Genomic DNA, 26,188 nt, shown 5'->3' with positions numbered 1-26,188 from the left:
GTCATGGACATAAAGACGTCGATGATGGATACTGGGGACTACTAAGGGAAGTGGGAGGAATGAAGGCAAGGGTTGAAAAACTATTGGGTACTATGCTCAGTACCTCAGTGACTGGATCAATTATACCCCAAACCTCAGCATCATGGAATATACTTATGTAACAAACCTGCATATGTACCCCCTGAATCTAAAATAAAAGTTGAAATTATATAAAAAGGTAAATGCAGATAATGAAAACTGTATTAGACAATAAAAAATAAAAAAACATGTGCTTACTCTTTTCAGGAGCTTAGATATATAGTGTGCTTTATCAGGCTTCACCCTTTTGAAGCTCCTTTTCCTCTTTCATGGAATATTTTGATTTTAGAATTATAGGACTAATGAGAAAATCGATAAAACTATGCTGGAATTCAAAATGTAATTAGTAGAAGAGCAAAGAAAACTGAGTAGGGATGAAGAGGATTAGTATAGTAGAGACATACAGAAGTGATGGTCACTACTGAAAAAACAAAATTATCTCACTTGGTATTTTTAAAAATTGGAAGATAATTACATGAAAATTAAAATAATACAGATAATTTTTGTATATTCTTCACTGAATTTTCTCTAATATTAATATTTCCATATGAGACACTATTGAAAAATCTTAACTAAATAAGCATTAGACTAGTTCTATTAATTAGACAGATTTATCTACAATTTGTTAGACAGATTTCTTTACAATTTGCAATTTTTTTTCATATTGTTCCTGTTCTGTCCTAGGTTTAATCTCCGGATACCATATTGCAGTTAGGAACATGATAATTTTAGTCATATACATGAGAAGATATCTTCCCTACATCTTAGTTTTATAGAATTTGTAAATTCAACTAATCGCAAACATTTTCTTTTTTTTTTGAGACGGAGTCTTGCTCTGTTGCCCAGGCTGGAGTGCAGTGGTGCGATCTCGGCTCACTGCAAGCTCCGCCTCCTGGGTTCACACTATGCTCCTGCCTCAGCCTCCCGAGTAGCTGGGACTACAGGCGCCCGCCACCACGCCCGGCTAATTTTTTGTATTTTTAGTAGAGACAGGGTTTCACCGTGTTAGCCAGGATGGTCTCCATCTCCTGACCTCACGATCTGCCCACCTGGGCCTCCTAAAGTGCTGGGATTACAGGCGTGAGCCACCGCGCCGGGCCCAGTGCAAACTTTTAATTAAGAGGTGATGGCCGTTTCCTGTTGTGTTAATCTTAGGAACTAACCTGATTCACCAAAACTTCCTCGGAGATTATGTCAATGAGCAGATGTGTACAGCTGGATTCAGGTACAACTAACACAACAGAAAAAAATAATTTACATCTGATTTCCATTTATCACAATCTAATAAGGTACATTTTTTGCAGAAAACCCCACATTTATTATGTTTCTAAAATAAATATGACAAAGAGATTATATTTGGTTATACATTTTATCTTCTAAATTTTTATTCAGATCATTGTACTTAATAATTCTGGAAAACCTCTTTAGAAGTCAGTAGATTAAGCATGCAGGAAGCCTTGGTGGGCATTTGAATAACATTACAAATGTTTTTTAAAAAGTTATATGGCTCTTAAAATTCATACAATTTTCTTTTTAGCACTTACCGGAAAATAGAAAGTGGCTGAAGTCATTGGTTACATTCTGCTTTTATTAAAACATTGACATTCAATTTTTCTATGGGTTATATGTGATAAAACTGATTTCAATTATATTGATGATTTTATGGATAAAGAGTGATCTGCTCATTAATGCATAATCTAAACCATCATATAGAATTTAATTTGGAGTGGGTATCAAAATAAAATGCTTATTGAACTACTTCGAAAGTTGGATGTCCTAATGTTAAAATATTTTTATTAATCAAAACTTTTAGAAAGTAGCTGGATGTGGTGGTATGCACATGTTCAGCAGGCTGAGTTGGGAGTATTGCTGGAACACAGGAGTTCAAGGCTAAAAGGAGATAGGTTGACACCACTGCATTCCAGCCTGGATGGCAAAGCAAGACCCTGCCTTTAATTGTATATATATTAAATATACACATATCCGTATATACTAAATATATATATTATATATTATATATAGTATACTAAATATATATTAAATATATAGATATTTAATATTAGTATACTATATATTATACTAAATATATATTAATTAATTTTTATGTCTTACCAACATTCTCACATCAAAAGTAAGACCTTTAGTGTAGTGGTTAAGTTAGAAGCCTGAAGTCAGTGATTTGACAAGACTTTCAAGCTAGCAAGCTCACCTACCACCGTTTCGTATACAACATACACTGACAGAAAACACAGGACCCTTCCTTAAAAGACAAGGACTGTTCATTAGCCATGATAAAAGCCAGCAACCACAACAATATGTTGTGCTGATTCTGTGAGCCTCAGTTCCCACAGGTCTACGCAGTAAAGGTCAGAGTTATTTTTCAATTTCTTCGAGAAAATATTTCTAAAACAGCAAAGTACAGTTCAGTGAAACATTATTTTAATTTATAAACAAGGTATAGAGGTACTTGAGTTACTCAGAAAAATAGATATTCCTGCAATGCTTTGCATTTGTAACTTGTTTTCTTTTTTCTGAACGACATGCTTGGGTCTCTAAATATTAAGTGTTTTCAAAAGTTAAGGCCTATTAATGCTTAGCTTTTAATAGTATTTTCTTACAGTGCAATGAAGAAATTGATCAAGAAAAGACAGCCTGGAAAGCAGAATTTAAGGCCCCAAATAGGAAAAACAAGATGAATAGAAAATATGAAGAAGTTCGAATGTATACTAATGTCTGATTGTGCGTGTTCTGACCCCTTAGAACACTATTAAGGTGTTCTCTTATTCAGTGTATTTAACACATTCTACTACAAATTAGAGTATCATGAACTAAAGTATTATAAATTTAGCAATGAAAAATCATACAATACCAATATTAATGTATGTGATAAATGGTTTCCTCACGCCTGGATTCCTGCTTGGTTTTCAAAGAGCATTCTGTTCATATACTTTAATCCCTTTTCCTTCCAAGCATCTTGCTTCCATTTTTCTCCCCCTTACTTTCTATTTATTTGCCATTAATATGCTGCCTACAAATGAGAAGGTAAAACCTTTCCAAATTGGCATCTTTTTATGTTTGAAGCATTTTGATGCACTGCTTATTGGGCCTTTCTTAATCTCTATTAGAAAAGCCTAAATCCATCTCAAGATAACTTGTGCATTCTATTTGTATATTTTCAACTACTTTTCAGTTTGCCTTCTAGATAACATAGAAACTTGTATAATCCAAATTGGCATTGTCTTGTTTTCTCAATCAAACCTCTTGATTTGATTCTGTAATCCATTGGTTCTGTCTTTCCAGTCACCAGAACTACAACTTCAAGTACTTCCTTTCTTCTTATTGGCCTTTATAGTAAATTTATAATCAAGTTTTAATATTTTGTCATTTTGTTTTTATGTTCCTGTCTATCATGTGTATCCAACAACATAATCTGGGGCAATTTTTATCTCATAACTGCATTAGAGAAATTAACTGTAATTTATATTTTCTAAATGTCCTCTTATTGCAAAGTGCAAAAAACTAGATTAATTTTCCTTAAGGACTGATTTTATAACAAAATCCCAAACTCAAAATCTTCTGTAGAAAATAAAGACTAATTGCTGTAATCTGATATGAGTCCTTCATAGCTAGGGTTCCACATTACTGTCAACCTTATTTCATCTAAATATAGTATATAAATTTTAATTGACATAGTAATTTTTAAAAAGTGAAACAATATAATTTTCTCTATTTTTTCCTAACTCAAGTTTTTATTCTATGTGAGTGTCAGAACACTCGGAGTAGGTTTGCAATTCCATGTTGCCAGCATCTGTCCTTGAGTTGGAATTAGTTCTAGGTGGCGTATTTACTGCCAAGGCATCAATGTGGACAAGCCCACAGTCTCAGATATCTGATTGCATTTTTCAACAAAGATATTTCGATTTTTCTTCTTGAGTCTCAGTTATTAGTCTATGTATATTGCTGCTAAGATAACCCTGATTCCCAAGAAGATGTACCCTTCTGGTCCAGTGGCAATCTCCGTGCCTCATTTTAGTGTGTGAACTGCAGGTCCAATGTCTCACTAAAGCATGAGAGTCACTGAAGTTTGTTTAAATATGTGTCTGCTTCGATCGAATATACAGCCTTTCTTTATTAGACTTCCTGAACTGTTCAGGGTTCTTCTTCTCTCCAATTTTGCAAATTTCTTTTGAGTACTACCATTTCACTCAAGCCAAGACTAGAAGCAGCATATATTTTTCCTCCGTATATGATTCGATAAATTTAAACTTGTCATTCCTTCTGTTCTCTTCTCCTGCCCTAGAAATATCTATACTTCTATATCTGTATCTATATATTATGTTTCTTTTCTTTTTATTTGGGGAAGGGAAGGCCAAACCTAATCAAACCATATGTTAGCAAACCATTTGTTTAAACTTGTTTATTTCCTTAAGGATATCTACTCTTAGAGCTCCAGGGGAAAAAATATTTCTGTGATCATCCTTGAAGTAATGAACATAGAATAACCCTATTTGTTGTCTATGGGAAAGGAGAGAAACACAAAGAAAAGAAATACATGAGAAAACAATGAATAAGTAAAAATATACTCCAACATCAATTAATGTACCAGAATCTAGTGCACATTAAATATTTTTCAACTTGACAAACCAGTATATATGATGGTCCACATAACCTGCACTGAATTTTCCCATTTCTCATTTGAGCTTATGCAAATCCTTTTACCTGTCAGTCTCCTTCAAATTTAAATTATTCTGTAAAAATTTTCATGACTACATCAGACGAAAATGGTTTCTTTTTGTGGTTGATCTGTGCAATAAGAATGTACACCCAACCAAACATTTAGTCAAGTTGTCGAAGCTGATAATACCATACACAGACATCAAGAGGGTATGAAGCAGTTTATTACTCGCATAATGAGGCTTTGTGGGATGAACATGGCTAGTTCTTAAGCAGGAAGAAAACAGTTTGAGATAGCGCAGGTTGGGATGGGGGTGCAGCCAGCGGCTTGACTTTTCTTATAGTTAGGGAGAGGAATCAGAGTGAGGGTTCGCACATGCAGGCCTGAATTTGGATCTGCATTTGCCAACAACCAATATCAAGAGAATGAGACAGACCTACTTATAAGCTCCTGCTTTGCACTAAAATATTCCATAGTGTGCATGGATGATGTGACCCCATAAATAATACATTAAAATAAAATCAAATGTTTGGCACTTACAATCAGCTTCACAGAATTGGACCTCATGGGTTTTCCCCTCTGGTCAAAATACTTAATGTGGCCACATACAAAGTTAAACAGAGCCTTCGAAGATCAAAACACATTATACAAGAACTATTTGGAGAAGAGGTAATTATCCCCCACAGTTTCTCTTTATTTAATAACTGTATTTGGTCTATTCTTAAAACTGGAAATAATGAATAACACTTAATGATGGATTATTGCAACCTTAATGTCATAATCTCACCCATTAAGTCTTCTATACCCGATATTACTTAAATTACTGACTCCATTCAATCCAATCAGAAACGGGTAAGTACTTTGCAGTCACAGATTTAGCTAGTAAATTCCTTTCATTGCCTATTTCAACAGCTTCTTAGCTGCAGTTTTTCTTCACCTTCAAAAAGACAATACATCCTTATGCAGCAACCCAGGGGCATCGCAACAGATTTACTGTTGCACACAGCCTTTGTAGGTAAGACCTTAATCACATTAAAATTTTTCTAGGAACATATGTATGACATTATATTGATGTCATCCTCCTAGGAGAGTCTATTTACACATTCATTCAGGACAACCAAACAGTCACAACAGAGCTCATCAAAATTAGTGGACTACTTACTCACACAAAGCAAAAGGCCTCACTACCTCAGTAAAATTTCTCACTATCATTTAACTAGAGGGTGCTCCGTTCCTGACATTATAAAGAAACAGTTGTTCATTCTGTCATCACCCACAATGTTAAAACAAATTCAACATCTTTTCGACCTTTTGGATTCTGAAAGAAACATATTCCTTATTTACATTTATTTAAGCTCATTTATGTTGTTGCTCACAAATTGACTTACCCTGAATGGGTCACCCTACAACAAAAGACTCTAGAATCTATCAGTATTGCAATACAACAGAGACTTAAGTTAGTGCCCCCCAAAGATTGTTCACTGTAGAAGCTTTGGCAACCTCTTCTTATGTCTTTTAGAGGTTCCAGACTACCCATGTGATATGGTTAGGCTGTGTCCCCATCCACTTCTTTTCTTGAATTGTAGTTCCCATAATCCCCACGTTTCATGGGGGTACTGGTGGGAGATAATTGAATCATGGAGGTGGGTTTTTCCCATGGTATTCTTGTGATAGTGAATAAGTCTCACTAGATCTGATCATTTTATAAAGTGCAGCTCCCCTGCACACTCTCTCTTGCCTGCCACCATGTAAGACGTGCCTTTGCTCCTCCTTTGATTTCCACCGTGATTGTGAGACCTCCCCAGCCATGTGGAACTGTGAGTCCATTAATATACCATGATGGATGGAAGCACTGCCATTACACATAATAGAGCCCACTGCATAACAGCCACTTTCTGTTGCTTCAACAGAATGTCCCTGATCAAGAATGAGACCCAAGGCTCAGTGCAACTGGCCAAACATCATGCAGTAATCTTAACAATAAATGCTCTGTCCAAGAATCAGCCATATCTGCATAATTTTGCGGAATATTTATCTGTGGACAATGGTCTGGCCATTTGGGCAGGCCAATGCTAGCAACAAAATTTTCATGTCCAACATCCTCCTGTTTGGAAAAAATAACTCTGAAATTTTGTGAATTACAAGTACCCACTATATAACCAGGGTTGCAAGTCTTTTTACATAATGATGCCACAATACAAATCTTTACCAAATTATTCCTTACCCCTTCACGGTTCTACACATTAATAATAGTGAGCAATTGATTGTGAGCAATTGTGAGCAAGGAACACATTTTACTTCACAAAATACACAATGCTGGGCTCATGTACTAGTTAGAGTTTTCCAGGAAAAAACAAAACAAAACAAATCAAAACAACAAAAAAAACAGAACTAAGAGAGGGAGAGAGAGAGAGAGAGAGAATGAATGAGATTTATTAAGGAAATTAGTAATATCATGGAAGTTCATGGAGGCTAGCAGGTCCCAAGGTTTACAGGGCAAGTCACAAAACTGGAGACTCAGGAGAACAAATGAAGTAGTTCCAGTCCAAAGGCTGGCAGGCTTAAAAATCAGAAAAAGCTGATCTTTCAGTTTGAGTCTGAAGTCAGGAAAAGAAGCCAATGTCACAGTTCAAAAAGTGTCAGGTAGCAAGATTCTCTCTTACTTTAGGGTGATTCAGACTTTTTGTTTTATTTAGATTTCCAACTGATTAGGTAAGTTCCAACTACAATACGGCAGAAAATCTGCTCTACTCAGTCTACTGATATAAATGTTAATTGCATCCCAAATACCCTCATGGAAACACCCAGAATAGTGTTTAAGCAAACACTGGAACATCCCATCAACCAATTAAATTGACAAATAAAATTAACCATCACATCTGCTGACGAAGGTATTCAATGGAAGTTTTATTTCCTTACCGTTCTCATGCTGTGAGCCTCATAGGTAACCATAATGGCTTACTATAACAACTTCAAATGCAATTAAATAAATCATAGCACATTTTACTCCTCAGTCAAACATTGGAGTGAGTTATAATAAAGAGTCTGGATTGATTTTTATTGCCTTATTGTTAATAGTTTTTATGCTTTACCACCCGCCCTTCTGTTTTGTTCTACATCTTGGCAAGCCAGTTATATATCTTAGATCTTTACCTCAGTGCCAGTGGAAAGTTCAAACCATGTAAACTTCATCCCAGATGCACAACTCCCAACTCCAAGTAAAATAACAGGCAAGCTACTCATCCCTCCATATTATCTTAGGCCATTTTCAGAACTGTTTTTGAGCTTGCCATGATCTGTCCAGAAAGTCTCATTATGTGAGAAATAAATCTTTTCATACTCTCTTGGTGTATGTGTGATATAATCAGCTTTAATATCCAAATTAAGTTTGGCTCATGGGTTTATTCTTCTTTCACATAGTATTCACAAATTCTCCCTTTCTTCTGTCTTCCTGTAAAATCACATATATCACTTTCTAATCTAGAATTCTTGCCTTTATATCCCTACTTTTGCAACTAGTGATTAAGGTATGACCTTATAAAATTGGCATGAAGATGCTATATGTACCTGAAACCCAAAATTCCCAGAGAAAATGAGGTTATTAAAAATGTGGTTATTAAGAAAATAAATATGAAGCATATTGAATATGGTAATTTTTTTCTGAGAGATATAGTGTAAAGTGTTATATGAGTTATCCAGGTAGGCAGCTTTTTTTCGTGCTACCTGTTAATCGAATTTTCTTGCTGGAAAATGTGTGTCAATGTGTTGTAAACTAATGATGATTAGTATTTTCCTTATTACCTGCTTTTCTGCCATATTACTAAATTGTATAAGGAAAAAAGTAAAAAAAAATATAATGGAGCTTATTAAAGAGTATATATAATAGTTATGGTTAACAGTAAAATGGCTCCAGGTGAAGCCCTTAAAATATAAAATAACCTAAGATTATAGAGCAGAGCAGTATTGTAGCATTCATTACCAAGTTCAAAATGTGTTCGAAAGTAGTCCACTTATTTTCTTTCCTTAAGAAGCACAGACTGTATAGGTCAGGTAGTCAAGCAAAATCTCCACAGCAGGATACATAAATTTGAAATCCTTCAAAAGGCAATGTTTTTATTCCTTATAATTAGGCAATTAATTCTATTGGCATTTATAAGCTGCATGTGGTGAGAGAAAAAGAGATAAAGAAAAGTAGTAAAATTAAATATTTCAATTTTACTTTAAAGGTCACTGAATTATATGACCCACCTTAGGAGTATTTAACTTGGAATAAAGAAGTCAGGAAACAAATGAGCTGAAAAACTCAAGTTGTGAAGTTTGCTACTTTAATTAGAACATAAAAGATTTCCTTTTTAAAGAACTCACTGGTGTGTTTGAATACATGATCTCTTTATTTCTTGAACTAAATCTTATTTATTCCCCATTGTTTTATTCCATATATGCATATTCTGTATTCCATATCTGGTTTCTCTTTTATGATACAAAATACAGAATTAAAATAATAGAATTTAATTTCTCTCATATGGCAGTAAATCATATTTCCACAGAGTATAAATGAGCTAGTGGAAGTTTAGCTGTCATGCTCTTGGAGCAGAATGACTTTATCTGCTAATAAATCAGCAATATTTACTAAATTTATTTGTTATCATTCTAAAAAATTCAGGTAATAGTGTTAATAAATTTGCCTCTTTATTAATGATTTCTCCTTTACTGGAAAAAATAAAGAAATATTTCTGAAATATAAACTTTGACTCATAAAATAATTCAAGAAAGATATCTACAAAGGTTTTGAATATGATGCATAATATCTCTATGTGAAAAATGTTTTCTAAAAGAGATATGTTTTCTTTGAAAGCCCCAATGGGACACACAGGAAATATACATTTATTACATATTAGGCCATAGTAAAATCTGAATACATTTTTGAAAGGGAAAAAAAAAGTACTGACAACAAATAACTAATCTTCCATGAGTAATAGTTTATGTGGTAATTACAAATTAGTGCATTTAAAAATACTTTTCTCTTTCCTTTTTTTACATATACAGGGTCTGTTTATACACAAGAATATAAGGATGCAGCAATCTTTATCCCAGAGATAACACACATAATTTCTCAATAACTTGATTATCCACAAGAGGTGCTCTTTAAATGCTGTCTGTTATTATCATTATTATATTACAAGCTTTAATTTAATGCACTGAAATTTTACTGGATTAAATGTAAATTTCAAAGTATTTTTCCTCTGCCCAGAAATATATTTTTTTGTTATGCTTAAGTTCTAAGATACATGTGCAGAACATGCAGATTTGTTACATAGGTGTACATGTGCCATGGTGGTTTTCTGCACCCATCAACCCACCATCTACATTACGTATTTCACCTAATGCTATCCTTTCCATTGCCCCCAACCCCCAGACAGGCCCCAGTGTGTGATGTTCCCCTCCCTGTGCCCATATATTCTCATTGTTCAACTCCCACTTATGAGTGACAACATGCGGTGTTTGGTTTTCTGTTCCTGTGTTAGTTTGCTGAGAATGATGGTTTCCAGCTTCATCCATGTCCCTGCAAAGGACATAAACTCATTCTTTTTATGGCTGCATAGTATCCCATGGTGTACATATGCCACATTTTCTTAGTCCAGTCTATCATTGATGGGCACTTGGGTTGGTTCTAAATCTTTGCTATTGTGAATAGTGCTGCAATAAAGATACGTGTGCATGTGTCTTTATAGTAGAATGATTTATAATCTTTGGGTATATACCCAGTAATGTGATTTCAGGGTCAAATGTTATTTCTAGTTCTAGATTTTTGAGGAATCACCACACTGTCTTCCACAATGGTTGAACTAATTTACACTCCCACCAACAGTGTAAAACCATTTCTATTTCTCCACATTCTCTCCAGAATCTGTTGTTTCCTGACTTTTTAATGATCGCCATTCTAACTGATGTGAGATGGTGTCTCATTGTGGTTTTGATTTGCATTTCTCTAATGACCAGTGATGATGAGCTTTTTCTCATGTGTTTGGTGGCTGCATAAATGTCTTCTTTTGAGATGTGTCTGTTCATATCCTTTGCCCAATTTCTGATGGAGTTGTTTGTTTTTTTCTTGTAAATTTGTTTAAGTTCCTTATAGATTCTGGATATTAGCCCTTTGTCAGAAAGATAGATTTCAAAATTTTTCTCCCATTCTGTAGGTTGCCTGTTCACTCTGATGGTAGTTTCTTTTGCTGTGCAGAAGCTCTTTAGTTTAATTAGATCCCATTTGTCAATTTTGGCTTTTGTTGCCATTCCTTTTGGTATTTTCATCATAAGGTTTTTGGCAATGCCTATGTCCTGAATGGTATTGCCTAGGTTTTCTTCTAGGGTTTTTTGGTTTTAGGTCTTACACTTAAATCTTTGATCTATCTTGAGTTAATTTTTGTATAAGATGTAAGTTAATTTTTGTATAAGGTCCAGTTTCAGTTTTCTGCAGACGGCTAGCTAGTTTTTCCATCAGCATGTATTAAATAGGGAATCCTTTCCCCATGGCTTGTTTTTGTCTGGTTAGTCAAAGTTTCAATGGTTGTAGATGTGTGGTGTTATTTCTTAGGCCTCTGTTCTGTTCCCTTGGTCTATGTATCTGTTTTGGTACCAGCACCAAGCTGTTTTGGTTACTGTAGCTTTGTAGTGTAGTTTGAAGTCAGGTAGCATGCTGCCTCCAGCTTTGTTCTTTTTGCTGAGGATTGTCTTGGCTATGCAGGCTCTTTTTTGGTTCCATATGAAATTTAAAGTAGTTTTTTCTAATTCTGTGAAGAAAGTCAATGGTAGCTTGATGGGAATAGCATTGAATCTATAAATTACTTTTGGCAGTATGGCCATTTTCATGATATTGATTCTTCTTATCCATGAGCATGGATAAGAATATTTTCCTTGGCAGAGACTGCCATTTATCACTTAATGTAAGTTCTCGACTTACCTATTAACTGTAGTTTTGGATGGAACTCTGTCCAGCAACTGAAGGCTACTTTAATAAGCCTCTCTTCCATGTATACATGGAATTGGGCCTGGATTCTGACCCATCTTAAGAGGGTAGAAGTGGTGTGTACGACTGTTGGGTTCTGCCATTAAAGGGAAAGCACACACCACCACTCTCCTCTTTCTTCTTCCATTTGCCTGCAATGAGAATGGGATGATGAAAGCAAAAACAGCTGCAAGGATGGTTTGCTGAACATGACAGAGTAACAAGAGAGAACCTGGAACCATGACATCGTAAGCTATTTCCAGCACTGAACAGAACTACTTGGATTCATATGAGACAGCTACCAGACCTTCAATTTTTCTACACTACCATACCTGAGATTTTTATTTCTAGTTGTAACACTGGCGCTTTCCACTACAGCAGAGGGAATACAATGCATTGCTATATCTACTGGAATTCATTTCTTGCCAAATTATTATGTAAATTAAAGTAATAACAGTAAAAATTATCACTTTAAATTAGTTCATTTGTTTGGAAAATTATTTAACTGCAAAATAAAAATAATTTAAGAAAATCACTGAAGACTTATGAAGACTCTTTCAAAAATGCTATTAATTATAAAGCAATTAAATGGTGATATAATGGAACAAACTGAAAAACTAGCTATAATAAGGACTGTGGTAACAAATCGTATAAGGAATTTAATATATACAAATTTATTGATGGCATTTAAACACTTGACAACACATGTGAACAAAATAAAGTTAAAAATCCTACTTCATTCAATGTTTGCAACTTATGAGATTCACTCAGGAATAAAATTTTCAATAAAAAAGATTCAGAGAAGAAAAATCTACAAGAAAAAATAAGCAATTGCTAAAATATTTTTAAGAGACATACACCTATGTATCACAAAAGATGAAATCAAATGTTCAATTACACTAATAATCAAGTAAGCAATTGGTAAAATATTTTTAAGAGACATACACCTATGTATTACAAAAGATGAAATCAAATGTTTAATTACACTAATAATCAAGGCAATATAAACAGAAATACTAGGTTAATACTTTCCAAGCTACTAGGGGTTTCCTAATACACTATTAGACAGCATCTGGGGTTAGGGTGGGATTACCTGAATCAGCATTTTCTAATGCAGTTGAGAGACACCATCTTTGATGCGAGGGGGGTTGGGAAAAGTTTGCTTTTCCTACATTTTCAATATAACTAACTCATTTGTTATGTAATAATAATAATACAGTAGGACACTCAAGCTTAAACTCAATTTTTAACATTAATTTTATGAAAAAATAGACTTGTCAACTAGTTTCTGCATTTAATTTATTCAAATTCATGGTGTATATGACATCCTTAACATTTGTTGCCAATGTCAATGCTATATTAAAAAGGTGAAGTGGCTTATCTATGTAGTATTGCTTTAAATGGAACTGATGCTGGCTTGTGTTTATTTTCACTTTCTTGACGAAAACTCTACAATTATTTTTAAATTATCCACTCAACAACAATTGGGCAATCTCAAGGTTATTATGCCTTATAATATAGAATTATCATTTTGCCATTTTAAAAGGAAAATAGACAGGACATTACAAACAAAAACCCAAACAGAACACAACAGGGGCTGATAAAGTCTTTGACCTTTTGTCTAGGTGATAATATGAGCTGCTAAAAATAAATGGAGATGACTAAAAAAGAGGTGAATAGGAACTGACATAACGGGGAATGTGAAAAGAATTGGAGAAGATATATGCAAAATAGTTGAGAAGTAGATTCAAGATTCTTCTTGCTTTAAAGGGTGTTACATTGTGAAGCATGCCTAGCTTAGCTGAAGATTCTGATGCTACATAAAATTTAATAAATAAATGTCTTTATTTTGGGTTTTGGTGTTTGGATTTTGTTTTAGAGACAAGGTTTCACTCTGTGGGCCACGGTGGAGTGCAGTAACACGATCATAGCTCACTGAAGCCATGAACTCCTGGGCTAAAGGGATCTTCCTCTCTTAGTCTCCAGAGTAGCTGGGACTATAGGCATGTGCCACCATGCCCAGCTTTTATATATATATATATTAGAGATGGGGGTCTCACTATGTTGCCCCGGCTGGTCTCCCACTCCTGGCTTCAAGTGATCTTCCTGTCTTGGCCTCTCAACATTTTGGGATTACAAGTGTAAGCCACCACACTTGGCCTTTTTGTTTGTATTGACCAACTATTTTCTATTTAATACTGCACAAAAATCTATGTTTATAAGTGTGTTCTACATTCTAAGACTATCCTTGTCACATTTTTGTATTTAAGTTACTCTAGCTTCAGAAAATGATTGAACTAGTATTCTTTTTTTCATACGGTAGAATAATTTGTACTATATTAGAGTTGTTTATCAATAGGACTATTCTATGAATTCATCTATTCTATTCCCATTTCCAATGTATTCTTAAATTCATTGCATTGTTGATAATTGTTGTTTTTATGATATACATATAGATTGATATAGATATAGATATAAATATGTAGATATATTTTATGGTGTATAAACTTATGGCATATTATGGTATATATGCTTTTGATTCTCATATTCATGTATTGCTTATTGGCAAATGCACTTACTTGCTAAAATTTGTTTGCAGCTTGAAAATCACTTGCTGTACTTTCATGGTCATTCATGGATATCTGCAGAGAGCCAAAAATACAAGTTGCACAATGCATACATTCCCAAGTGAGATCAAACACAGTGACACTTTGCCTTTCTGTTTCAGCTCACTTACTGCAAGCAAATGTCCTTTCTGTGCTTTATTTAGAGCTGTGTTTTTCACATTCTTGTGCTTTTTGTTGAAAATTTCACTGTTTAAAATGGCCCCCAAATGTAGTGCTTAAAGTGCTATGTAATGTTCCTAAGTGCAAAAGGTGGTAATGAGACTTAAGGTAAAATTATGTGTGTTAGATAAGCTGTGTCTAGGCATGAGTTGCAGTGCTGTTGGCTATGAGTTCAATGTTAATGAATCAACAAAATACATTAAATAAGTTGTCTTTAAATGGAGACATATAAAACAAAGGTGCGTGTTGATGGATTAACAAAATAATGTGAACAAAGGGTCACAAATCTAACTGTATTTTTGTCTGAGTTCACTATTGGCTAATTCAGTGTCTGTGGGGACTTATAAAACAGAAATACTGTAAATAATAAGAATAAACTATAGGTATGTGTAATTATATTTTAGCTATAAATATAAGGACATAGAGATAGAGATGCAAATAGAGATGTGTTGTATGATATATATTGTAATTTTTATATTTATATAATTAAATGTATACATATTTTTATGTGTCCAACTTTGATACTCATGTTTCTAGTCTCTGCACTTTCTTCCTGCATTTATGTTATTATTATTATTATTTTTTTGTAGAGATGGACTCTTGCTCTGTCACGCAGTCTGCAGTGCAATGCCACAATCATGGCTAGTTGCAGCCTTGAACTCTGGGCTCATATAAGCCTCCTGAGTAGCTGGGACTATAGGCATGTGCCACCATGCCTAGCTAATTTTTTATAATTATTATTGTAGAGACAGGGTCTCTCTATGTTTCAGAGGCTAGTCTGGAACTCCATGCTTCAAGTGATCCTCCCGCCTTGGCTTCCCAAAATGCTGGGAGTATAGGTGTGAGCAACCACACCAAGCCTGTATTCTTAACAATGTGTATTTATGTGTTTTTTTCCCGTATTAGTCTCACTAAAGATTTGTCAGTTTTATCTCTTCAAAAATTATCTTTTGCTTTTTCTTCTATTTCAGATTTATTATATATAAATAATTTCTGATGATAATATACAGTTTTGTTTGTATTCTGTATTATGTTAATTTTTCAAGTTCTTGAGTCTTAAGTTTGGTTATTGGCTCGTTCACTTTCAGTCTTTCCTTTTTAGAATATAATCAATTAAAGTTAAATAATGTTTTATTTAGGTGTTCGTTAGTTTTGATATGTAATATTTATATTTTATTCAGTTTTATGTGTTTTCTGATTATTGTTACAATAACTTTGGCCCATAAGATGTTTAGAAGTGTCGGGGTTTTTTTCATAATTTCTACATGTAAGGGTTTTTTTTCTCACTGTTTAAACTAACATCTAACTTAATTTTATTGGAGTTTTAGAATATATGACCTACATTACATCAATGTTTAAAATTTGAGATTCAATTTCTGATCACTTTTTAGGCAGTTTCCATAAACTTTTTAAATAAAAGTAATTAGCAACAAAATCACTATAAAGTATTGTTGATTATGGTATTCCATTTATTTCTGTTTAATCACCTAGCTAGTCTTCTACATTCTTATTATAGAGTCTGGTTGATTTACCAGTTTTGAACAGAAGCAATTTATACTATATCTCTTAAAATGATAGTGAATTTTCCTTTTTTAAAATTGTATCAGTTTTTCTTTATCTATTTTAACCTAGATTATTAGATACATACGAATTTATTAGATGCATACAAGTTTCTATGTAATTTTATCGATAACATTCATCTACTTATCTATATATATAGACAAAGTAGGTAAATCTTAGTAAGATAGAACTATTTAGCATCATACATTTTCTCATACATTAATTTATGGATTTAATAGAAAATGGTAGCTATTTAGTTGCCAAAGGAATAACCATGTGTATGATGACATTGATGCTTTTTGTTTTTGTTCCTTTGTTTCATTATTTTTACTATATTTTATTTTATTTTATTTTATTTTATTTTATTTATTTTATTTTATTTTATTTTATTTTTGAGACAGAGTTTTGCTCTTGTTGCCCAGGCTGGAGTGCAATGGCACAGTCTCTGCTCACTGCAACCTCTGCCTCCCAGATTCAAGCAATACTCCTGCCTCAGCCTCCCAAGTAGCTGGGATTTCAGGCACGTGCCACCATGCCTGGCTAATTTTTGTGTTTTTAGTAGAGATAGGCTTTCACCATGTTGGCCAGGCTGGTCTTGAACTCCGGACTTCACGTGATCCACCCACCTTGGCCTCCCAAAGTGTTGGGATTATAGGTGTGAGCCACTGCACCCTGCCTGTTGCATTATTTTTAAAAGTCAAGAATAGACTGTGTTTCAAAAATGAAGAGAAAGCTATCAGATGAATTTCTGGAGATAAGTAGATAAAATTAAGAACAGGAATATAAGTATTGGGCTTAGAAATAATTTGTACCAACATATCCATTGCAAATAAGGGATAAAAGGAAAGAGTATTTGTTAATCCAGCTACGTTAGCAGTCCATTTTTCAAAGATAAGATGAATTTTCTATATTTTGTTTGTAAAGTCAAAGTGACAATATAAACTTTGACTTAGATGGAAGAAGGGCAGCAAGTTTAAGAAGAGTAAGGAGAGCAATGATAGAAAAGGGAGAAATAGACCGGGCTTGGTGGCTCACGCCTGTAATCTCAGCACTTTGGTACGCCAAGGCAAGCAGATCACCAGGTCAGGAGTTCAAGACCAGCCTGGTCAACATGGTGAAACCCTGTCTCTACTAAAAATACAAAAAATTAGCTGGGCGTGGTGACGCATGGGTGTAATCCCAGCTACCTGGGAGGCTGAGACAAGAGAATTGCTTGAGCCTGGGAGGTGGAGGCTGCAGTGAGCTGAGATTGCGTCACTGCACTTCAGCCTGGGTGACAGAGCAACTCTGTCTCCAAAAAAAAAAAAAAGAGAGAAATAATTTCCTTGGGTAGTTCAGCGTCTAGTCAGATTAGAAACCATAAAATTGTGAACAGCATCATTTAGTAAATTTTCTTATTCTCTCAATACTGTCCAACTTTTCACTTGTAGATTCACTGTAAGAAAAAAATTTCCAAGGAGACGAGGAAGTAGAGAAGATCTCCAAAAAAAAAAAAAAAAAAAAAAAAAAAAAATTGTTGGGATTAAAAAAGGAAAATCTCAAACAATTGAGGAAGTAAGGGTGGCCACTTAGTTTAAATAAAAAGGTTCAGGTCAAACCGGAAAAAGTCCTTATGAAAAAAAATAAAGGTTCGGGGAATAGATATCTTTACATAAAATACAGGTATAGTTATATAATTATTAAAAAATGTAGAAGATTATGGTCAAATAATAGGATATCTCAATGTAATATTGCACATGCCGAAGGTTAAAACTACTAGTAAATTCATGAGGTATGGAGAAACTTCAGTTTGAAGTAGAAGTGAATTAAAGTATCTGAAAATGTGAGGTAAAGAACTCGTCTAGAGCAGTGTTTCTCTAGAAAGAGGAAAAGGAGATTTTTCCTTAAGTTCAAATTTTTTTCACAGCAGTGTTTTTATCTAAAAATAAACCAATGAATTTGGCAAATTATTATATGCAGGGATCCTGTGGTTTTAAGGTTTCTAATGTCTTACTTTCAATTTCTGTGCTTATCTCATAGTGGACCAATTATAGTTTTTTGACGGAAATCATACTTTCAGTAATACTAAACAGTTGGAATATCAACATGAAGAATCAGACTAATTAGGATGCTGGAGATAATTTGGAATAGAAAGAAAACAAAAACAAAAACAAACAAAAGCCTCCATTCGGTTGGGCACTAAGTATAATAAATGGGGCATTAAAATGTTGGTTGAAAACCAGAGGAGAAACAGGTGAAACATGGTAAAGCCAAGATTTTCTAGAGTAAGCATATTTTCTGGAGGTTAGCAAGGTAGTAATGTAACTTAAAAGATAATGGACATAGTATAGGATGCAAGAGAGATGATACAATGGAAATACAGTTAGTTTTTAGTTATTTAAAAGCCTTTAAAAATGTTTAAGTTTTGTTGATCTTTAAACAAACAAAGTAAAAACAAACAAGTGTTTCAGCAAGAGAAATAGGTATCAAGCTGGTAGGAAGAGAAAACTAATGAACAATCGGGGGTGGAGTACAGAGGATGGCTACCCAGAGGGGAAGCAAATACGACGATGACCAAAGATATGGTTGTATTGATGGGGTTAGTTGATGCTACATTGCCACAAGAATTTTGATTGAGCTGATAAATGGCTGGGGAAGGAAGGGCAGGCAGGGTTTAGGGTAACTCTGGTTAAAGCCTATTACATGGCCTTGTTTCAAACAGTGCCAGGAAAATGTTCTTTTCTTACTAAGATATTATTTTTCTGCACTTTTAGATTTTATTTTTCTTTCATTTTTTTTTCTCCTCTGGTCTCTTAATGCAGACTTATGCTAAAACTGATTACAAATGAAATCAGATCAATGACCTACAAAATTAAAATTAAATATTACACCATTGTTGAATTGATTAATTCTATTTAATGTTAATGAAAGATTATTAACTTTTGTAAGGTAGAACAAAAATGTGTATAGTAAATAATATCCAAAAAAGTACCTGATGAATTACTGTTATCTTAGTATATAGTTTTGGTTCCTGTTTCACAAAATTGTAATTTTTTGGGAGATAGATTTCTAGTTCAATGTTCAAATTAAAGAGTTTACTGTTATATTTGCTTACAAAATGTACACGGTTTAGCTCCGAATTTTAACTTTGCAAGTGATTCTGAATTACTATTGCCACCAATAATCATGTTTATTTTTAAGGTGACAGATTTCTTCACTAGATCTTTATCTCTCAGTTTTGATTTTAGATTTCTTTTATGTAAAATATATTGGACATTTTTGATTTGTGTAGGGAGGAATAGAGGATTGGCAAGAAAACTGCATACAATAAAGTTTATAAATATTCAGCATGCAAAAATCTTCCTGGTTAACATGGTGAAACCCAGTCTCCACTAAAACTACAAAAAAAAATTAGCCGGGCGTGGTGACACGCTCCTGTAGTCCCAGCTACTCGGGAGGCTGAGGCAGGAGAATGACGTGAACCTGGGAGGCAGAGCTTGCAGTGAGGCGAGATCATGCCAGTATACTCCAGCCTAGGCAACAGAGCGAGACTCCATCTAAAAAAAAAAAAAAAATCAGCATGCAAAAATCTGTTAATGTAGTGCATGCTTATGCTATTGTTTCCATGTGAAAATTACTCTGTTTTGGGGGTGGGGGGGGAAATAGGTTTTTGTTTTTACACATCTCAGGAAATGTGATTGGTGAAGCTAAAAGTGTTGTATGATTGATAAACAAAAAACTCCACACACTTAATATATACTATTTGGTGAGTTTTGACATATACATATACCCATGAAACTATCATTAAAATCAAGATAATAGGCATATCCAAAACATAACATATTCAGCACCTCCAAAATTGCATGCTTCATGTGTGTGTGCATGTGTGTGTGTGTACATGTGTGTGTTTGTGTGCATGTGTGTGTGTGCATGTGTGTGTTTGCATCTGTGTGTGCATGTGCATATGTGCATGTGTGTGTTTGTGTTTTGTGGTAAAAGCACTTAATATGAGATTTACCCTCATAATAAATTTTTAAATACACAGTATAGCGTTGTTAACTGTAGACACTATGTTGCAGGGCAGATCTCAGGAACTTATTCATCTCACATAACTGAAACTTTATACTCATTAAACAGCTTCCCATTTTCCCCTCTCCCCAATTCCTGGCAGCCACCATTCCTCTTTCTGCTTTTATGAGCTTAACTATTTTAGATACTTTGATAAGTAGTATCATGTAATATTTGTCCTGTGACTGACTTATTTCACCTACATAATGTCCTCCAGGTTCATCATGTTGTCCCATATGGCAGGATTTTCTTCTTTTTTGAGGCTGAATAATATTCCATCATATGTATATACTGCATTTTTAAATCTATTTTTTTCATGGGTGGGTATTTATGTTAGTTCCATATCTTAGCTATGGCAGATAATTTAAATTCTTTAAACAATCATAAATGCTGATGGCTTAGAGCATGTTATTTAATGTTAACTGAAGATTACAAAACAGAAAAATAGTAATGAAGAGCTTAATTAAAAGCTACCACATTTTCAACTAAGAAAACTCAAGTGAAATTTGTTGTTTTGCATCAGTTAAATGATGATGATTTTACATGGCAAAAATAGTCCATGTTTTTAAATGTTACGCATTAAAAATATTTTATTTATATAATAAAATAAGAAAAAATATAACTATCATTCAAAATTTCCTGTAATTCATTGGCTTGATATATGCCAAAAGAAAAATCTGGTTTTAATTGTTAGTAGGTACTGATTGGGTTGGCTATTTTCCATTTTCTCTCACTTCCATACTAACCTTTCTCTGTTCAATCACAACATTTGCAGATTACACTTTTCAGGCTCTTTTTACAATACGTATAATTTCTGTTTTATTCTGTCAGTAGGATGTAGGTAGGCATACAGAAGATAATATCTTTGTAATTACTTAATAATTACTTTGTAATTCTGGCTTGAACAACAAGGCGGTTACTGGTAGTTGCTGAAGGTTGAAGAAGCAGTAGCAGTTAGGTGATTCTGGAATCCAGCAGCCCAGCAAATGTAACATTATTTTGACAGTTCTAGCTTTGGTTGAAAAAGTACCTCTTCTTCATCTCTATACAAAATGCAGCAGCTGGCGTAGGCTTATGACTTCCAAACTGGGGGCTTTAGCTGCTTCAAATTTCTGAGATTAAAAATTTTTCCTTTTGTTCCTCCATTTCTTTTCATTTAAACAATTCCCTGTTTCTCTTTTAACCAACTGATTTGTAAGATTACTCTACATTAAATTGCCTCTATTTGAAAACAATTTTATTTCTGTATTCTAGTTTTTAAAAAAGCAAAATGAGAATATATTTTCTTAAAACATATTTTAGAGCATTTTCTATAATATTTCTTCCATATAAAATAATTTTGAGATATATACCTCGTATGTTCCAGAAATTATTTGATGCCCTTAGGAGATTAAAACATCAACAAATAAGAAAGAGAAGGGTTTTTTCAATGATAGTGCTTAAATTATAGCAGCACAAAATAAACAATAAATATGAGAAGTATGTTATCTAATATATCAGGTATTAAATGTTATTCATACAATGAAAACATGGAGATGGCTCAAGGAAATGGGATGGCCAATTAGAAAGAGAAACTTAATGATTATCATTGGACATCCAAGAAAGAGACCTCATTGTGAAGGTGACATTTGAGCAGATTTCAAGGAGATGTGAGTGAGTACTGGGAAGAACCAGTGCAAATGCTGCAATGCCAGATGGTGCTTGGTTCACTGATATCTGGAAAGGACTCATGTGGCTGTAGTGTGGTGTGAAGGGAAAAGCAATACAGAGATGAGCTCACTGAGAAAGTGAGCGGAGGACAAATCACAGAGTGAAACTGTGTAACGACTTTGTCTTATCTCTGAGTAAAATGCAGGACTACTTTTGGATGATGAGCTGGGTATTGACATGATCATATCTTCACTTTGAAAGGATCTTTCTGTATCAGAGAGCACATGAAGACATGGAGAAACTTAGGAGGCTTTTGCAGTAATACCAGTGAAGGTGGCGAAAGAGGCTGAAATAGAGATGGTAGTAATGGATGTAATCTAAAGCAAATGAATGTTGAATATATTTTCATGAAATCAGAAAGAGAATATTCCATTCCTCAGTCAAGGTAGTAAAGACCTGGAGTTCCTCCTAATTTTAAAGATGTAACCAACTTTGATCTGATGAGTATAACAAAAACAAGGTCCGAGGATAAGAAGAGTGACTCTCATTTTGCATATTTTCTTTTTTTTTTTAATTACACTTTAAGTCCTAGGGTACATGTGCACAACGTGTGGGTTTATTATGTATGTATACATGTGCCGTGTTGGTTTGCTGCACCCATTAACTTGTCATTTACATTACATATTTCTCCTAATGCTATCCCTCCCCCATCTCCTCATCCCATGACAGGCCCCAGACTGTGATGTTCCCCGCCCTGTGTCCAAGTGTTCTCATTGTTCGATTCCCACCTATGAGTGAGAACATGTGGTGTTTGGTTTTTTGTCCTTGTGATAGTTTGCTCAGAATGATGGTTTCCAGCTTCATCCATGTCCCTACAAAGGACATGAACTCATCCTTTTTTATGGCTGCATAGTATTCCATGGTGTATATGTGCCACATTTTCTTAATCCAGTCTATCATTGATGGACATTTGAGTTGGTTCCAAGTCTTTGCTATTGTGAATAGTGCCACAATAAGCATACGTGTGCATATGTCTTTATAGTAGCATGATTTATAATCCTTTGGGTATATACCCAGTAATGGGATTGCTGGGTCAAATGGTATTTCTAGTTCTAGATCCTTGAGGAATCACCACACTGCCTTCCACAATGGTTGCACTAGTTTACAGTCCCACCAACAGTGTGAAAGTGTTCCTATTTCTCCACATCCTCTCCAGCACTTTGTTGTTTCCTGACTTTTTAATGATTGCCAGTCTAACTGGTGTGAGATAGTATCTCATTGTGGCTTTGATTTGCATTTCTCTGATGGCCAGTGATGATGAGCATATTTTCATGCGTCTGTTGGCTGCATAAATGTCCTCTTTTGAAAAGGGTCTGTTCATATCCTTTGCCCACTTTTTGATGGGGTTTTTTGATTTTTTCTTGTAAATTTGTTTAAGTTATTTGTAGATTCCGGATATTAGCTCTTTGTCAGATGGGTAGATTGCAAAAATTTTCTCCCATTCTGTAGGTTGCTTGTTCACTCTGATGGTAGTTTCTTTTGCTGTGCAGAAGCTCTTTAGTTTACTTAGATCCCATTTGTCAATTTTGGCTTTTGTTGCCACTGCTTTTGGTGTTTTAGTCATGAAGTCCTTGCCTATGCCTATGTCCTGAATGGTATTGCCTAGGTTTTCTTCCAGGGTTTTTATGGTTTTAGGTCTAATATTTAAGTCTTTAATCCATCTTGAATTAATTTTTGTATAAGGTGTAAGGAAGGGATCCAGTTTCAGCTTTCTACATATGGCTAGCCAGTTTTTCCAGCACCATTTATTAAATAGGGAATCCTTTCCCGATTTCTTGTTTTCATCATGTTTGTCAAAGATCAGATGGTTGTGGATGTGTGGTGTTTTTTCTGAGGCCTCTGTTCTGTTCCATTGGTCTATATCTCTGTTTTGGTGCCAGTACCATGCTGTTTTGGTTACTGTAGCTTTGTAGTATAGTTTGAAGTCAGGTGGCGTGATACCTCCAGCTTTGTTCTTTTTGCTTAGGATTATCTTGGCAATGTGGGCTTTTTTTTGTTTCCATGTGAATTTTAAAGTAGTTTTCTCCAATTCTGTGAAGAAAGTCATTGGTAGCTTGATGGGGATGGCACTGAATCTATAAATTACCTTGGGCAGTATGGCCATTTTCACGATATTGATTCTTCCTATCCATGAGCATGGAATGTTCTTCCATTTGTTTGTGTCCTCTTTTATTTCGTTGAGCAGTGGCTTGTAGTTCTCCTTGAAGAGGTCCTTCACATCCCTTGTAAGTTGGAGTCCTAGGTATTTTATTCTCTTTGTAGCAATTGTGAATGGGAGTTCACTCATGATTGGGCTGTTTGCCTGTTATTGGTGCATAAGAATGCTTGTGATTTTTGCACATTGATTTTGTATCCTGAGACTTCGCTGAAGTTGCTTATCAGCTTAGGAGATTTTGGGCTGAGACGATGGGGTTTTCTAAATATACAATCACATCATCTGCAAATAGGGACAATTTGACTTCCTCTTTTCCTAATTGAATACCTTTATTTCTTTCTCTTGCCTGATTGCCCTGGCCAGAACTTCCAACACTATGTTGAATAGGAGTGGTAAGAGAGGGCATCCTTGTCTTGTGCCAGTTTTCAAAGGAAATGCTTCCAGTTTGTATATTTTCTATAGATCACTGACCCTGCTTGGATCCTTCTTTCAGAATACTTTAACTCAACTTACTCAACACTTCAATGCATTTAAATTGACATATTGATTATGTTTGACAGTGCTTTTTCTTGGCAATTGTGTTTTTAAATATGTAAAGTAATAGTAGACTGTATGCATAAGTAATATAAAGTATAGCTTTGGGAAAGTGGATTACATATTTTAAAAAAGACATTTTATAGAGTATATTCTCAGTCTAATGTTTGTATAAGTAAATTAACATGGGCAATCTTCTATTATCAGTCACTGTGATTAGCGGAAGGAATCCAACATGTTCTAATGTTTATTCTAAGTAAAATAATGGCTAATGTAATTGAGTTTTGCATATAAAAATTTAATAGAAAATACTTGAGCATAACAGACTTTTCTTGTTACAAAATATAATGCTTTATATTTCAAATGTCGAATTTATGATAATTGTAAAGGGACAATGGAAAGAAATAAAACTAGAAAAATTATATCAATAATTTAACATTTTCTACCTTAAAGAAGACGATTGGTATAAAAATTAAATGGTTTTATGTGTCAAACATAATTCAGTAGAAATAAACTGCCATCTGTTCCATTTAAGATCATTATAAAAAATAAGGCATATAGTGCATCTCATTTTGTGATCTTATTTTGACTATTGAGAATAATTTTTTCCCAATACTTCATAGATTGAACAGTCTGCATAAATAGCAGGCTTCTTCATTCCTTATTTAAGGTAAATGGAGCCATTTAAGTAAGATGAAAGAGATTACGGCGCGAACTAGTTTGATTAAACAATATATATTAGCATCCAAATGTAATGTTTCTTAATATTGTTCTAAGCTATGAAATGGTGCATATTCATATCATTTTTCTTGCATGCATTTTAAAGCATTTATTCTTTATTAGTTATGAAAGTGCGAAATCAACAATAAAGCACACCTCTAACAATTTATATAAGAAACATACACATCCATATGCACACACATACATACTTATATGTTAAAGGTCGTTTCTATAGTATATTCGTATTTTAAATAAACTGTTCATGCATACGTATGATTATATCCAAATACACACATGCATATGCACTGAAAAAAATATTCCTTGAAGTCCTACATTAAGAATGTACAGCCAGGGTTAGCAAGGGCATGAGTACCTATTCTGCTCAAGAGAAAGATAATTTTAAAATAAATTGAACAGAGTGATCAGAAATGCAAATAACCTAAGTAAATGCAAAGTCTGGATAACAGGTGGCACATCTTTAAATTCCAAGGGGCCACTCAGACTGATGAGGTGGTGAAGTACGTTAAATTAAGTAAAGTACGTTTTAAGTGTGGAGGGAGGTTGCGTGGTGTGTTTTTCTAGACAGTGGTCTATGGAAGGCCCAATTTGCCTGTAAACTTAAGACCTGGTATCTCTGTATCCACATTTGGCATAATCCAAACCTTTACACCTTGCCAGGTATTAGTCCAACCCTGTGTGGTTTAGCCAAGGCAGGCTTAAGAACAAGCCTGACTGGATAAATAGCTAACTCATTTAGAAAAAGACTGAAAATATGGTGGAGACTTAGCTCCAGGACCCTGAATCTTTATAGTTTTTGTTTTTATTACAAGTTTAGATTCTAAAATCAGGTAAAAACAAAGTACGCAACATAGCATTTTTCAAAAGCATTGTCAATTATAAGCAGTTAATTTCTATTTAAC

General features: G+C 34.2%; 1 long non-coding RNA gene across 2 annotated transcripts in view; it reads right to left on the bottom strand.

Annotated features, from left to right (window-relative positions):
* LINC01684 (long intergenic non-protein coding RNA 1684) overlaps positions 1 to 26,188 on the bottom strand; it is a 119,203-nt gene that overhangs the window by 47,922 nt on the left and 45,093 nt on the right. Inside the window, exons 5-6 of one of the 2 annotated variants that reach the window (NR_135520.1) lie at positions 14,336 to 14,398; positions 9,714 to 11,908 (exon numbers count right to left, since the gene is read on the bottom strand). The exons of the other annotated variant lie outside the window; for it this stretch is intronic. This is a non-coding gene — a long non-coding RNA (long intergenic non-protein coding RNA 1684). Of the gene's footprint in view, positions 1 to 9,713; positions 11,909 to 14,335; positions 14,399 to 26,188 lie in introns of those variants that run through there. 2 annotated transcript variants of the gene reach the window in all.

The sequence above is a fragment of the Homo sapiens genome, chromosome 21 (assembly GCF_000001405.40).
Source record: "Homo sapiens chromosome 21, GRCh38.p14 Primary Assembly".
Classification (NCBI taxonomy): Eukaryota; Metazoa; Chordata; class Mammalia; order Primates; family Hominidae; genus Homo; species Homo sapiens.
The sequence above is the reverse complement of the archived record's forward strand: the minus strand, read 5'-3'. Positions and strand labels throughout refer to the sequence as shown.